This window comes from Homo sapiens, chromosome 13 (genome assembly GCF_000001405.40).
Source record: "Homo sapiens chromosome 13, GRCh38.p14 Primary Assembly".
NCBI classification, from domain to species: domain Eukaryota; kingdom Metazoa; phylum Chordata; class Mammalia; order Primates; family Hominidae; genus Homo; species Homo sapiens.
In genome coordinates this window covers 98,369,355-98,385,637 of record NC_000013.11, presented here as the reverse complement: position 1 = coordinate 98,385,637, position 16,283 = coordinate 98,369,355, and the positions used below count along the sequence as shown (strand labels likewise).

The 16,283-nt window shown below is 41.9% G+C and overlaps 1 protein-coding gene across 2 annotated transcripts in view; it reads right to left on the bottom strand.

Moving 5' to 3' along the window:
* Positions 1-16,283, bottom strand: part of FARP1 (FERM, ARH/RhoGEF and pleckstrin domain protein 1) — a 312,588-nt gene that overhangs the window by 69,539 nt on the left and 226,766 nt on the right. For both annotated transcript variants that reach the window (NM_001286839.2, NM_005766.4), the window contains exons 6-7: positions 7,720-7,817; positions 794-908 (exon numbers count right to left, since the gene is read on the bottom strand). In NM_001286839.2, the coding sequence (NP_001273768.1) occupies positions 794-908; positions 7,720-7,817 (213 nt within the window). The remainder of the gene's footprint in view (positions 1-793; positions 909-7,719; positions 7,818-16,283) is intronic.

The window sequence follows — 16,283 nt, the reverse complement described above, 5'->3', positions numbered from 1 at the left end:
CAGGAGATTTGAATTCCCTGTATCTATTAATTTGAGATTAAGAAGCTTCTCCTGGGAAATACAAAGGCATTTCATCACAAACACTGGGGCTACCCGATCAGATGACACCCAATCTCCCATTCACTGTAACCCAAAGTCTAGCAGCTAGGACAAAACCTCCACTGCTCATGGAACATAAAACCCCAAAAGTCTCCAAACTCAGCCAGTTTTTGTTTTTTTTGTTTTTTTTGGAATCTCAAAGAGTTTCCTTTAAGCTCATATAAAAGCAAAACACCACTGGGTTAAAACAAGATTTTAGTTGCTTTCAATAACCTAAACCTGCAAGCAAAGTTCAAGAGAACACTTTTTCACATGGCCGTCAGGCTCCAATGCTTCCTTAAAACAACAACCAAAAGTACCATGAGTCCTTTGAAAATATTAATCCAAACAAAAACAAAAATGCAGATGCTATGAAGGTTCTGGATTTTCACGATACTCTGACCTTGTCCCTAGGTGACCACGTCCCTTTCCCAATTTGTCATTAGCTTGATGACTGGATGGTCCTTTGCTCTTACTTTCTCTTTTGTTCCAAAGCATGGGCATCCTTAAACTCCAGGCTTCAGTGGGTGACCTGTGCTTCTGAGAGCCCAGGATGAATCACCACATCCCAATGAGCCTCTGTGATCTTCTTTCCTCACGCTTTGTGTTGTTCTCCACAATAGTTTGTGTGGGGGGTGGAGGGATGTACACCCATGTAGGTTGGAGGCAGAGAGAACCGGCTCAGAGGGAATATGAAGCCAAGAATGAGACTTACATGTGGTTATGGTGAAATTCCACGATTTTGTCCTCTAGTGCGTCTTGCTGAGGTATGTATTTATTTTTTGCTAAGTGCTCTCTGTCCAAGGCTTCATCAAAATCCCCAATCTCAGCTAAAAAGAAACAGAAAGAAAAACAGGTCACGTAGGAATGACACTTCCCAGTTTGTCAATATTCCCCAGTGAGCCAAACAGAAGCTAGCAGACAACATAAGGTGAGCCCAGTTGGTGGGGAACATCAGAAGGGCCAGATCTCAGAGACGGGATGCCAGGATACATTTATCAATTGTGGTGATGTGAGAAGACAGTTTTCTCCCCTCCTCATCTCTATCAGTCAGAAAGAAGCTTCAAGGTCAGGCACAGTAGCTCATGCCTGTAATCTCAGCACTTTGGGAGTCCAGGACGGGTGGATCACTTGAGGTCAGGAGTTCGAGATCAGCCTGGGCAACATGGCGAAACCTCGTCTCTACCAAAAATACAAAAATTGGCTGGGTACGGTGGCGGGCACCTGTAATCCCAGCGACCTGGGAGGCTGAGGCAGGAGAACTGCTTGAACCCGGGAGGTGGAGGTTGCAGTGAGCCAAGATCGTGCCACTGCACTCTAGCCTGGGCGACAGAGCAAGACTCCATGTTCCCCCCCGCCCCCCTACAAAAAAAAAAGCCTCAGAATCATCCATCTTCAGCCATACCTGCTCCCGGTTTTTCTTTTCTCCCCATCCGCCTGGGGAGGTTCTTGGCAGTAAATTCTACACATGTGGGTGACAACCGTATGACCTCCTAAAAAGCCCTAAAACTTCAGGACTTTATAAACATCAAAGTGAAACTCTTATATATTAGCAATGACTAGTGCAAAACGCAAATGCTTTATCATGCAGAGAAAAGAGGAACGTCAGTGGGTGCAAAGGTAGATAATCTAATGCTTAAAAAAATTATGAGTTTATTAAACTTTTCGTAGTCTTGTCAGAAATAACAGATCAGATTGCAAAGTCTTACACGTTTTTATCTGTGAGAAATATGATTCTCACATAACCTCAAGACAGTCCTCAATACTGCTGGAATGTGGAAAGTTAAAGGATAGAGCTTTAAAATCAGACTTGCGCCTTAACAACACTAGTTCAAGGTCAATGTACACCAATTGTTACACCTCTGAGACAGCACACCTTTTTCTTTGTATCACATATACTGTATAACAAGCTTCATAAAAAATAGTCTAATGACCAGAGCCCAGCTGTTTTGATAAAAACCAAGGGAACTGTTGCTATGAAACTCACCTTTCATTCTGTCACATGAAGCAGCTTGTCACACTTAGGGCAATGCACTCCAGCAATCAAGCAGGACATGGCCTGGATGTTGCCATCAATCACACCCACTGAGGATATCTGTTCTGCACAAAGCCATGCCAACTCACCTGGCAGCAGCCGGTGCACTGGAAGAACCCCTCCCTCCCTCGCTTCCTCATCATCCGAAAGACCAACAACACTATTTCCTAATTGCCTTTTCTGGACTGATTTCTCCCTTCCTAAATAGAGTAAAATTGCCACGCTCCATCACAGAAAATGGCACAGAAATGGGGGCACGCCTGGTCATACTGCCATCGTTATATGTTGCCTTGACAATAGAGGGCCTGGCTTCTCTGCAATTCCTTCTATCTGGTTCTCAAGGAAATGCAGTTGATGCTCATTATTCGAGGCAGTTATGATCTACAAGGTTACCATAAACACTGAATTAGCCATTCCTGAATCATTTCTCCTAGGGGAAATACGGGGTGAGGTTCCTAGAGTAGTCTTGAAACAACATTTTAGTTAACTGGCCGTATCTTATGTGTGTTTCTGTTGAAAGCCATCTTAAATATACTTTGCCAATTTCTTCACATTGAGCTCATGGCCAACAGCAGCTGAACTCATGCCTGAACGATGCTTACCTAACACACATTTGCTCTATCAGGCAGATAGCACTGCACGCGGGGACACAAGACAGACAGCGCTTCAGCACAACGCCTGGGGACTGCTTTAAACAGTGAAATCACCAAAAACATGCACAAAAATGCGAAAAGCGTGGCACTAAATAGACCATGAAAAGGATACTTATTAACAGTACGAGAAAAAAAAAACAGAAGGCAGAGCTTTGCCTCGTTTGACCTCCACTGGGAATGCACATCAGGTGACTCCAAATTTTCGCCATCCACAAATGACCGTGAAAGCGCATGAGTGTTGATTTGGGGGTTACAAGTAAATAAGCGAATTTTCAGACAGAATCTGAGAATAATGAGCCCTGACTATCTATGGAGGAATTCCTTAAATCCGAAATGTCTTGTGAGCTTTATGTTTGGGCTTCTTAATTCCTATGAATCTTAGAACACACTCTTTCCCATCATTCCATATAAAGAGAGCCGAATGGTCCAGTTTTTCCTTTGGCATCAGGGTGGAGACGTCTAATTCTCTTTTCTTCTGGGTCGCTTGTCTTTTCTTGCCCTCCTGTCACGCCATAGTGACATGACTATGAAACTCATTCGCTCCCCACATTTCTCCTCTTTGAAATGTGGAAATAGGCTGCTCCTTAAATTTCTGGAATTTGAAAACAGACACATACTCAAAATCTGACTTCCTTTTATTTTTTCCAAGACAGGGTCTCGCTCTGTCACTCAGGCTGGGGTGCGGTGGAGCGATCACGGCTCACTGCAGCCTTGACTTCAGGGTTCAAGTGACCCTCCCACCTCAGCTTCCCAAGTACCTGGGGCTACCGCCACATACCACCACACCTGGCTATTTTTTTTTTTTATTTTGAGTAGAGACAGGCTCTCACTATGTTGCCCAGGCTAGTCTTGAACTCTTGGCCTCAAGCTAATTTTGTTTTTGTACAGACGAGGTCTCACTATGTTGCCTAGGCTGGTCTTGAACTCCTGGCCTCCAGAGATCCTCCTGCCTGGGTCTCCCAAAGCGCTGGGATTACAGACATGAGCCACCGCACCCAGCTGACTTCCTATTTTTTAAATGTTTTATGCTGAAAGTGTCACATCAGCTTATGCATATACTATATTCCTTAGCAGTCTACTCAGCAAAGTAATTAATAGGAAAAACAGCAGCAAACCAAAATCCTGTGATTTTAATAAATGGATGCAACTTCCCCAGAGGACAGGCGTGGACAAACCTGCCTTACCACGCGGAACCCTCAGAGCAAGGACCACACGACCTGCACAAACGCAGCCCTGCCTCGCCTCCATGCTGCCCACGTGTGCTCTTTACATCAGGGCCAACTAGTAGCTGATTCTTCTCTTCATCAGCTTGTCCTTCTTAGTCAATCCAAAATAAATTAGAGAAAATTAAGTTCAAAATACTGCAGGGAAGATGCAAGGCCAGTGACGGAGGAACAAATGAAAAAATACAGACTATCTTAAAGACTCTATGCATTCAAGCCAAAGAAGGGAGGAAAATAAGACGACAGCAGATTGTGTGTATAGAGACGGACAAGATGAACATCAGCTTACCAGAGATAATTTTCCATTAGGGGTAATATAGTTTCTGCCAAAGGGAGATGACTTGACCCCTTATACCTTACCAATAATCACCAATAATTGAAATCACGACACAATCCACAGAAGACTCTATGAAATGCCTCCTTTCATGACTGAGTGCATGGGATACTTAAAAATGCAGAAATGGGGCCTTACACATATCGGAAGATTTTAAGAATATTATGTGTCTCATGACTGTATGTCAAATACCATGTAAACAGCAGAGGAACTTCTCATCCCATCTATTTGCCTTTTGAGAAGGGAAGATTCTTTGGGGATTTTGAGCCACTTGCTGGTTTCTGGGGGGAAAATGGTATACTGGACTGAGACCATGGTTTTCTGGATGTCAGCGAATCTCCACTCCCAGATATGCAAGTGAAATTCACTATTGTTAACAGACCTTTATTTTTTTTAATTTACTTTTTTAATTGACAAAATAAAAATTATACATATTGGTCAGGCATGGTGGCTCATGCCTATAATCCCAGCACTTTGTGAGGCCAAGGTGGGAAGATCACTTGAGCTCAGGAGTTTGAGACTGGCCTGGGCAACACAGTGAGACCTCAGCTCTACAAAAAAATAAAAGAAAAAATTAGCTAGACCTGATGGCATGTGCCTAGAGTCCCAGCTACTCAGGAGGCTGAGGCAGGAGGATTGCCTGATTCCAGGAGGTCGAGGCTGCAGTGAGCCATGATTGAGAGACTACGCTCCAATCTGGGTGACAGAGACTGTCTAAAAAAAAAATTTTGGGGGGGATATATTTATAGTGAACATCATCTTTTGATATATGTACACATTGTGAAATGGCTAAATTAAGCTAATTAACATATGTATTACTGCCCATATTTATTTATTTATTTTTGTGGTGAGAACACTTAAAATCCACTCTTCTTCTTTTTTTTTTTTTAGACAGAGTCTCACTCTGTCGCCCAGGCTGGAGGGCAGTGGGGTTTCTCCCAGTTTCAAGTGATTCTCCTGGCTCAGCCTCCCAAGTAGCTGGGACTACAGGCGCCCACCGCCACCACACCCAGCTAATTTTTGTATTTTTAGTAGAGACAAGGTTTCACCATCTTGGCCAGGCTGGTCACGAACTCCTGACCTCAAGTGATCCGCCCGCCTCGGCCTCCCAAAGTGCTGGGATTACAGGCGTGAGCCACCATGCCTGGCCAAAATCTACTCTTTAGTGTAACAGACCTTTAAAGAAAAAAACATAGGAGGAAAGAAGTACACGACTCAATGGCATCAGGAATCTTTGAGTAAGATCAATTTCTCTTCTGCTTACAAAATGCCAAGGGTCAGAGACATTTTATGAAGTTACTATTTCAATAAGGAAGCTTCATTTTAAAGTTTCATGTTGTTTGGAAAAGGAGGGTTGCAGGTGAATAAGGATAAAGGAAATTAATGTTTACTGAATACCTAGCATGTACTGGGTATACAGCTGGCCCTCTCTATCTGTGGGTTCCATATTCATGGATTCAACCAACCATGCATTGAAAATACTTAGGAAAAAATACTGCATCTATACCAAACATCTAAGATATTTTTTCTTGTCATTATTCCCTGAATAATACAATGTAACTACATAGCATTTACATTGGATTAATTATTATAAGTAACCTAGAGATGATTTACAGTCTATGGGAGGATATATGTAGGTTATATGCAAATACGACACCATTTTATATCAGGGACGTGAGCATCCTCAGTTTTTGGTGTCCTTGGGAGGTCCTGCAGCCAATACCCCATGGACATTAAAGGACAACTGTGTATGCTACCATTTAATTTTTACAGCCTTATGAAAAGGATTCTATTATTCTCATGTTCCAAAAGAAATGGAGGCTGGGGGGTTAGTAAGCTGCCAGGGTCACCAACCAACGAACAGAAATCAGGTCTGCCAGACTCAAAGCCTCCTCTCCCTCCTCTCCCTCTCCACTATCATTTTATGAAGAGGGGAGAACAAACACAAGAAAGATAAAAATTACATTAAGTTCTGTGCTAAGGATTCCTCCCCTGTAAAATAAGGATAATGACAGACTTGATCTCAAGGGGCTGTTAGGAGAATTAAATGAGATTATATATATAGATTATATATAGATTATATATAGATAGATTATATATTATATATTATATATATATTATATATTATATATATTATATATAGATTATATATTATATATATATTATATATAGATTATATATTATATATATATTATATATAGATTATATATTATATATATATTATATATAGATTACATATTACATATATTATATATTATATATAGATTACATATTGTATATATTATATATATTATATATAGATTATATATTGTATATATTATATATATATTATATATAGATTATATATTGTATATATTATATATATATTATATATAGATTATATATTGTATATATTATATATATATTATATATATATATATAGTGCTGGCACATGGTCAGGCTTAATAAAGATACCTATTTTTTTGTTTTTTTCTTGCCCATGTCATTTTTTTCAAATTGGTAAGAAAACATCTATCTAATAAGTGCTCATATTCAAAAAACAAGAAGATACACATCATCTGAAACACCTTACTGTATCAGACTAAGGCAACTTTTTGACTACTGAGAGAGACACTTCCTATAAACCTTTGTAAATCTAGTGAACTAGGCACATATCAGGATAGGAGGGGACTGATTATATGAGACGAATTCATATACAGTGGAAATGTAAAAGGTGATATGATAGCACAACTTTCCTTTATAGTAGTGCTTATTATACATTAAGTATTATACCCACAATTACCTTTCTGAAACATAATGTGTATATTTTATTTCAAGTAATTTCTGCCTTGGTCAAGAGGGAAAAAACACCCAGGTGGCTTGTCAGCAAGCCTGGAGATGAGCATAATCTGATTCATCCTTTGTCTATATTAAGGCAAATTAAAATATCTAGGGTCCAGCTCCATTAATCCAGCATGAGTCTTGGTTTACTGAATTCTGAAGAGCAAAAATCTCTAGAGAGAAGTGAAATCGGTGGCAGTATTATGTCTTAAGGCTACTATGCCATATTCAATGATAAAGTTTAAATCCAAGAACAGGACAGAACAAGTTTAGTCTATTTGGCAACCATCCATCCAAGCTTATCCTTTAAGACAACTGAAGTATCAACTGCGTACTAGTCCTTGAAGAAAGACAAACACCTGAACAGAAAGTACAAGAGTTAACATTTGGGGATATGCATATTAAATGACATCAGGAGTATTGTTTTTCTCTTCCACCCGTAGGCCTTCATACGAACAGCAAAAATAACACAAAAACATTGACACTTTCTTTTTTGGTGGATGTGATTTTTTTCCCATCAATCAGATCACTGTGTTATTTTGAACATGATTTTCAAAGGAAACCAATAGAACTTACATTGCACAATGTGTGAAATCAAGAGAGCTGCGCTGGTGTCATTACACGTCAACCTGCCTTGAGCCAAGTCCTGCTTCACCTGCAGCGCGAACAGGTACCTGCGAAGATCAACAGAGCTGGGCGTCAGGCAAAGAGGGCAGGAGGTCACCGGGAACCTGGCCTCACCATGAGAGGCCAAGGAGAGGGATGCAAACCCCAACCACGAAGTCTGCATGGGCTGGAACGGATTCCAGCTGCCATTCACTGCAGTGTAAATATCTCCCTCCAAAATACAAAGAGATGTATGCTATCATCTTTTCACAGTATGAATAATATGTTTCATTTTACATAGGGAGAGAGAGCCATAAAAATGTGAGACCATAACCTAGCATGCTATATATTTTTGTAGCGTACAGGAAATATTTACATTTTTTTCACAGAATCAGTCATCCATACTCTAACATGGTTCTATGGCTCAGACAATAACAGTAGTTTATTATGGTGAGTCAGAGGATTGCCAATGAAATGAGAAAAACAAGGGGGCGTCATTTTTTTTTTTTTTTTTGTGGTGTAACTACTTCCATAGGACCCAGTTACAAGATTTGTAAAAATTCATTTTCTTTTCTTTTTTTTTTTTTTGAGACAAAGTCTCGCTCTGTCGCCAGGCTGGAGTGCAGTGGCGTGATCTCGCCTCACTGAAACCTCCACCTCCCTTGTTCAAGCAATTCTCCTGCCTCAGCCTCCCGAGTAGCTGGGACTACAGGTGCACGCCACCACGCCCAGCTAATTTTTTGTATTTTTAGTAGAGACGGGGTTTCACCATGTTGGCCAGGATGGTCTCGATCTCTTGACCTCATGATCTGCCCACCTCGGCCTCCCAAAGTGCTGGGATCACAAGCATGACCCACTGCACCCATTCATTTCTTTTCTTTATATTGTGGTATTAAGCATGTCAACATTTTTGGTGTAAGATAAAAAATACATTTGCAAATCAAAGACATTAAGTAAAAACTGTGCAACAGCAAACAGGCTTATGAAAAGATGCTCAACATCACTGATCATCAGAGAAATGCAATCAAAATTATAATGAGATATCATCTCACCCCAGTTAAAATGGCTCATATCCAAAAGATAGGCAGTAACAAATGCTTGGATGTGGCAAAAAAAAAAAAAAAAAAAACACAAAAAACCCTCAAGTACTATCGGCGGGAATGTAAATTAGTACAACCACGATAGAGAACAGTTTGGAGGTTCCTGAAAAAACTAAAAATAGAGCTACCATATGACCCAGCAATCCCAGTACTAGGTGTGTACCGAAAAGAAAGGAAAACAGTATGTCAAAGAGATATCTGCACTCCCATGTTTACTGCAGCACCATTCACAACAGCCAAGATTTGGAGGAAACCTAAGTGTCCATCCACAGATGAACGGACAAAGAAAATGGGGTATGTATACACAGTGGATTACTATTCAGCCATAAACAAGGAGATCTTGTCATTTGCACAGCATGATTGGAACTGGAGGTCATTATGTTAAGTGAAATAAGCCAGGCACAGAAAAACAAACTTCACATATTCTCACTTATTTTTGGGAGCTAAAAATTAAAACAATTGAACTCATGGAAAGAGAGAGCAGAATGAAGTTACCAGAGGCTGGTAAAGGTAGAGGGAGTGGGGATAGTTAATGGGTCCAAAAAAATGAGATAGAATGAATAAGATCTAATATTTGATAGCACAACTGGGTGACTACAGTCAATAATAATTTACTATACTTTAAAAATAATGAAGAGTATAATTGGATTGTTTGTAACACAAAGGATAAATACTTAAGGTCATAGATACCACCCCCTGCCCCGCAGCAAGACAAAACCAAACCGAACCTGTACAATGTTAAAATGGATGTGAAAATAATGATACAAACTCATAGATTTTTAGATATCTAGTTTACCTGCTGCCTGAGAACAGTGTCCTCTCAGTAGCACCCTTTGCAATCAGATTCTGTCCCTCTTACAATTACCTGTTGGGGCCGCACGCTGTGGCTCCCAGCACTTTGGGAGGCCGAGGCGGGTGGATCACCTGAAGTCAGGAGTTTAAGACCAGCCTGGACAACATGGCAAAACCCTGTCTCTACTAAAAATATAAAAATTAGCCGGGTGTGGTGATGCGCCCCTGTAATCCCAGCTACTCGGGAGGCTGAGGCAGAAGAATCACTTGAATCCGGGAGGTGGAGGTTGCAGTGAGCCGAGATTGCACCACTGCACTCCAGCCTGGGTGACAGGAGCGAAACTCCGTCTCAAAACAAAAACAAAAACAATAAAAACAACAAAAAACAATTACCTGTTGGAAGGATAGAGAGATAGGGCCTTGGAGACATGGTAGATTCCAGGCAGATCAAAGCATCTCCTTATTTAAAATTGGTAACCCAAGGCAAAGAATTGAGTGTGTAACCTGCCTGGCCAGAGGAAAGGGTGTTTCAGGACAGCCAAGTAGTTGAAGAAAGGTTTTACAGGTTTATCTCCCATAAAGTAAAATTTTGCCTCAAGTATTTGGCAAAAAAATTGTAAGTGCCAATTTATAACATAGCAAGAATAATAGAATTAGAAAATCCTCATTCCACAAACTCTAAAGAAATTATTGACTCCAGCCAGGATTATCAATGGGTGAAAAAACCATGTAGGAGACTGGACAGTCACATAGGGCAAAGGAAATATGACTTTACCTGGCAAAAGAATAATCAGAATGTCACCACCTGAATCCAATGAACAATCTCTAATCATTAATGAAATATGAAGCACACAACATCACTTATGACAGACTCCAGCCCAAATGTTTAAGTGTATCAGTCAAGCCCTAGAATGAATTTCCTGTCCTCTCCAAACCTCATGTTGAGATTTCATCCTGAGTGCTGGAGGTGGGGCCCAGTGAAAGGTGTTTGGGTTGTCAAGGCAGATCCCTTATGAATAGACTAATAACCTCCCTTGGGGGTGAGTGAGTTCTCACTCTGTTACTTCCTGTGAGAGCTGGTTGTTACAAAAAGCCTAGCACCTCCCTGTTCCACCCACCTCCTCTCCCACCATGTGATCTCTGCACATGCCAGCTCCCCTTTGCCTTCTACCACGAGTGGAAGCAGCCTGAGGCCCTCAGCAGATGTCAATGCCCAATCTTGAACTTTTTAGCCATCCAGAATCATGAGCAAAATAAACCTTTTTTCTTTATAAATTACCCTGCCTCAGGTATTCCTTTATAGCAGCATAGAACAGACTATGACTTCCAGTTTTGGAAAAATACAAAGGATAGAGGAACAAGTTAAACAGCACCACAAGAAAGCTAGCAGGCAAATTCAGAAAGTAGGATACTGTGTAGTGTAGCTGGTCCAGTTTCTTCAACAAGATGCTATCATGAGGAAAAGAAAATGAGGGACTAACTTACATAGGCCCAGATGACATACTAACTAGATGCAATATGTGGTCCTAGAGTGGATCTGTTTTTTTTAATTGATTGATTAATTGACTGATTGAGACAGAGTCTTGCTCTGTTTTCCAGGCTGGAGTGCAGTGGTACAATCACTGCTCACTGCAGCCTCAACCTCTGGGGGCTCAAGCAATCCTCCTGCCTCAGCCTCCAGAGTAGCTGTGATTACAGGTACACACCACCATGCCCAGCTAATTTTTAAAATTTTTTGTAGAGACAGGTCTCCCTGTGTTGCCCAGGCTGGTCTCAAACTGCTAGGCTCAAGACATCCTCCTGCTTCAGCCTCCCAAAGTGCTGGGATTACAGATGTGAGCCACTGTGCCTAGCCAACCTTATTTTAGAATAAACAGATACAAAGGACAGTTAGGGGATAAATAGGGAAATGTGAATATGGCCAATGTATTAGATGAGATGAAAAGTACATATGTATGCATAGAAAAATTCAGAAAGGATATCTTACTAATGTGACGGGCAATGGGAATGCAATGTTTCTACTTTCTTAGTCTTATTCATTTGTCTATTCTAACTTTCTACAATGTATGTTTACTACTATTATAATAATGAAAGGGTATTTTTGATTTTCAAAAGGGCCTTTAATAGTATTAGCTATAGAGGTTTCCATAAGAATTAAATGAGATACATGGAAAACACTATTAGAACAAAAATATTCAATAAAAGTTGGCAGTTTTTAAAAATAAAAGAATAATCCATTTTAAGTCATTTAGGAAATTTTATTATTAAGAACTAAAAAACCACAGCAGCAATTGTATAACCAGCAAAAAGTGCCCTACAGACTACAGACCTACCAGTGGGACTTTCTCTGACCTCCCTAATTTTATTCTTGTTCTCTTGCTCTACCCTTCTGTCTCTCCCCGCAACCCCCTTTCTGTGTGTGTGTGTGTGTGTGTGTGTGTGTGTGTGTGTGTGTGTGTGTGTCTGTCTGTCTGTCTCTGGAAAGTCAAAGGGAAGAAAAGCAGAGAATATAAAACAATCTAAACCTCATGTGGGAGGTGGGAATACAAACTATCGTGCTGGATTATAGTCACTGTCTTTTGAGCCCAACACTTTGTAGAGCTACAAATTTCTAATCGGTTTTTCATTAAATAGGAGGGCTTCATGTTTTAAAATGACATTCTGAATATTTTACCTGTTTTAAAATTACATTCTGAATATTTTACCATTTATCATTTCAAACATGAGTTTCTGTGTTCACAAAGAGGTTTTCAGGGACAAACGCATGGGCAGTCTGGCAGGCTCTGGGGACCTTTGGTGACAATCACACATGGGCTGCGAGATGGCATCAGGTTCTGAAAACACACACGTTTACTGGGAGAGCACAAGGCTATTTTGAAGGCTGAAGGAAGAACGTGACTCCCCCTGATTACATGGACTCTTCCTGATCCAAGGCCCTTGTAACATGAGAAGTAGCTTCCTGGGTACTAACTCTGTCCACTTTTCTTACCATGAGCTGTAAGCTGAGCATGCTGGCCGCGATGCTAACTTTAGAGATTCTGCAACACCTTTAGTACTGTCCACTGAAGCAATTCCAATCAGTCTCACGCGAGCTAGAGGCTAAGTTTTACTTGGTGAGCACTAAATAAAACTGAACCGGTAAACACAATGAAAACATAAAGCGCTCAAAATGGAATCAAGTTTCCTTAGCAGAAGAGTGGACGTGAGGAGAGTCCACCTCTCATGTGAGGAGAGGACAACGATTATGGCAGGAGCAGACAGAGGGACTTCACTCCTAGGGACTGCAAGAGTCACATGTCACACCCATTTGATGCCTTGCTTTCAATATGAATAATTTATTTCATCTGGAAAACCACCATCTTCCCTCTTTTCTTATTACATATAAGCAATTTAGAATTCTCCTGCAGTCTAAGAGAACACTTCAGTAGGGCGTGCAGGGCGCAGAGCAGCATGTTCTGATAGGGTCCCCTCACCTATAAGAACACAGGCAAGTAGAAGCTGGATCCAACTGAAGACGGGATGCCCAGAGAGAAGGGGAAGAACAAAGGGTGGCTAAACATGGCACAAGGAAAGTGATTCCAAGCCACACGATAAGAAAAACTGAGATCATGTGGCAGGGTGCAGCGACTCAGGCCTGTAATGCCAGCACTTTGGGAGGCCAAGACAGGCAGATCATGAGGTCAGGAGTTCGAGACCAGCCTGGCCAATATGGTGAAACCCCGTCTCTACTAAAAATACAAAAATTAGCTGGGTGTGGTGGCACGTGCCTGTAGTCTCAGCTACTTGGGAGGCTGATGCAGAAGAATCGCTTGAACCTACGAGGCGGAGGTTGCAGTGAGCCAAGATCGTGCCATTGCACTCCAGCCTGGGCGACAGAGCGAGACTCCATCGCCAAAAAAAAAAAAAAAAAAAAAAGAAAAACTGGGATCATCTTTTCCAAAGACCCTCACTCGTTGTTTTGAGGCTGCACCCAGGAGTCAATACGCTTCTCCTTCTAGGTGTCTGGGTGCTGCTGTCAATAGGATGGCATTCCACCTGCAGTTCAATAAATAGAAAGGAATCCAGCTTCTTGTTTAACAAAAGAGTGCAATTTAATCTCCTATCTATATCAATGGGAAGCTGAAAGAGCTATTCCTGGAGGCCCAAAGCATTAACTACAGAGCTAGAGTCACTTATGCTTTGCTGAACCACAGGCCAGTTTCTCCGTCTGTCCCACTTCTGTGTATGCGTCCCTCCCCACAAAGCACAGCTGACATGGAGCTTCTCCCAGCATCCCCTCATTCACCATCTGCCAAAGAACAGCACCTGAAATCTCAATAGTCAGTCCATTTTTGCTTCTACAGGAATTTGAGATGCGAGAGTCCCAACACATCGGCCCCATGAGGTTCTCTATGCCTTGTACCAAGTGGGGAGTGATGGAGAGATGATAAAAAAAAAAGTAGGAATTTCAGATCAATTTTATTCAACAATGAGCCAAAAGAACTGTCTCCTTGGAAAAGACTTCTTAAATGTCAGTTCACACTGGGTGCCAGAAAACAAAAACAACAAAAACCTGCTCCGTCCAGCTGAGCTCGTGTAACTTTAGGAATTTATCAGCACTGACAGAGGAGCTGGCAATGTACCAGGCACATGCGGCTCGATGGTAACCAGCTGTATGGAGTTTCAGAGCAAGGGCCAGAATGGTAGCCAACTGCAAACCTCTAGAGACGATTCACAAAAATTGAAAAGGTGCAAAACTATTGGCAAAACAGAATTTTTAATGAAAAAAAAAAAAAAAACGGGGGGCGGGGGTGAGGGGATACAGGATTTGTGCCTCCAACTTCCTGAGCAAGAAAGAGCCCTGGTGATTCACATGAGGAAAAGGCACGCTACCGATGCTACTTATTCCAAACACAACTACATTCCTCCAACAGCTGGACTTGCCCTTAGATTTATTTCAGCACGCAGAGCTCAGGGCAATGCAGTTTCCAACGACAGGAAAACCAGCCTGAGAAACCAAGACCCAGCAGCCCCAGCGAAAGGCCCTCCTGTCATCAGCCAGCCCTCAGTCCTGTGCAGACCCGGCTTAGCAGCTCGGGCTGTCCCTCCTATGCAGGTAGCTCCCAGAAGGCTGCTGCTTTCTGCCAATTCCTGGCTGCCTTTGCCTTCTTCGCTGATTTGAGGGTTCTAAGTGGACGTGGATGATTAGCAGCACAAACGTTCAGAAAACACAAAGCAGTGGGAAGTCTTTGTCACTGTCTCCCTGGAGCTGCACATTCCTGTATCTGATGTCCTTCCTGCTGCTGCTGTGGTCATGGGACAGCTAACAGGTATCTCAAACATGACCTGGCCAGAAACACCCTGACTCTCCACTCCCCAACAGTCCTCCACTTCCCTCCATCCTTTTCTCATTTTAGTAACCCCCAACACCATCTCCCCCCCAGTCACTCAAGCCAAAAATCTAAGTGCCCCCTCTCCCTCCCTCAAAGTCCACCACCACCTCATCACCAAGACAGAGGGACCCTGCTTCCGGTACCTGTTCCAAACACAACTACTTGCCTCCATTTCTACTGCTACCTATTGGTGGCTTCTTTGCCATCACCATGTGACCGCCTCCTCACAGGATGCCCTGGGACTCTCCTTCTCCCCCTAACATCCACATGGCAGCCAATCTTTCAACACTATGTGTGTCAAGCCTCTCTCCCACCTCACCACGACGCTCCCAACACTCCTGCCATGCTGGCCCTCCTTTATGTATTTGAATGCTTGGAGCTGATTCCCGCCTTGGGCAGAGTACTGACTGCTCCATCTCTCTAGAAAGCTCTCTCAGTAAATGACTGATGGTTCCTTCTCACTTCCTCAAGAGGCATCCCAGACCCACCAGCCTGAAGTCATCACCCAGGCACCTCTATCACATCCTCCTACTTCAATTACCTAAAGAGTTCTTGCCGCTATCTGATATTATCTTGTTTATTTAATCGCTTTGTCTGTTTCCATGAGAGTATTCTTGTCTTTTCATCACTGCACTCCCAGTGCCTAGAACAATGCTTGCACACAGGGAACCCTTAATAAATATTGCTGATTACATCAGTATCTTCATCCCTTTGATAAATGATGATCAATGATGACCCAAGATACTGTGCTCTGTACTGAGAGGGATGAGGAAGGATATGATGGCCTCGGTATTAAACAGTCACTGCTTGAACACCATGTATGACAAGAATTAGGCTGGTTAAACCCAAATGTCCAACAATGATAGACTGGATTAAGAAAATGTGGCACACATACACCATGGAATACTATGCAGCCATAAAAAATGATGAGTTCATGTCCTTTGTAGGGACATGGATGAAACTGGAAATCATCATTCTCAGTAAACTATCGCAAGGACAAAAAACCAAACACCACATGTTCTCACTCATAGGTGTGAACTGAACAATGAGAACACATGGACACAGGAAGGGGAACATCACACTCTGGGGACTGTTGTGGGGTGGGGGGAGCGGGGAGGGATAGCATTAGGAGATATACCTAATGCTAAATGAGGAGTTAATGGGTGCAGCACACCAGCATGGCACATGTATACATATGTAACTAACCTGCACATTGTGCACATGTACCCTAAAACTTAAAGTATAATAATGATAAAAAAAAAAAAAAAAA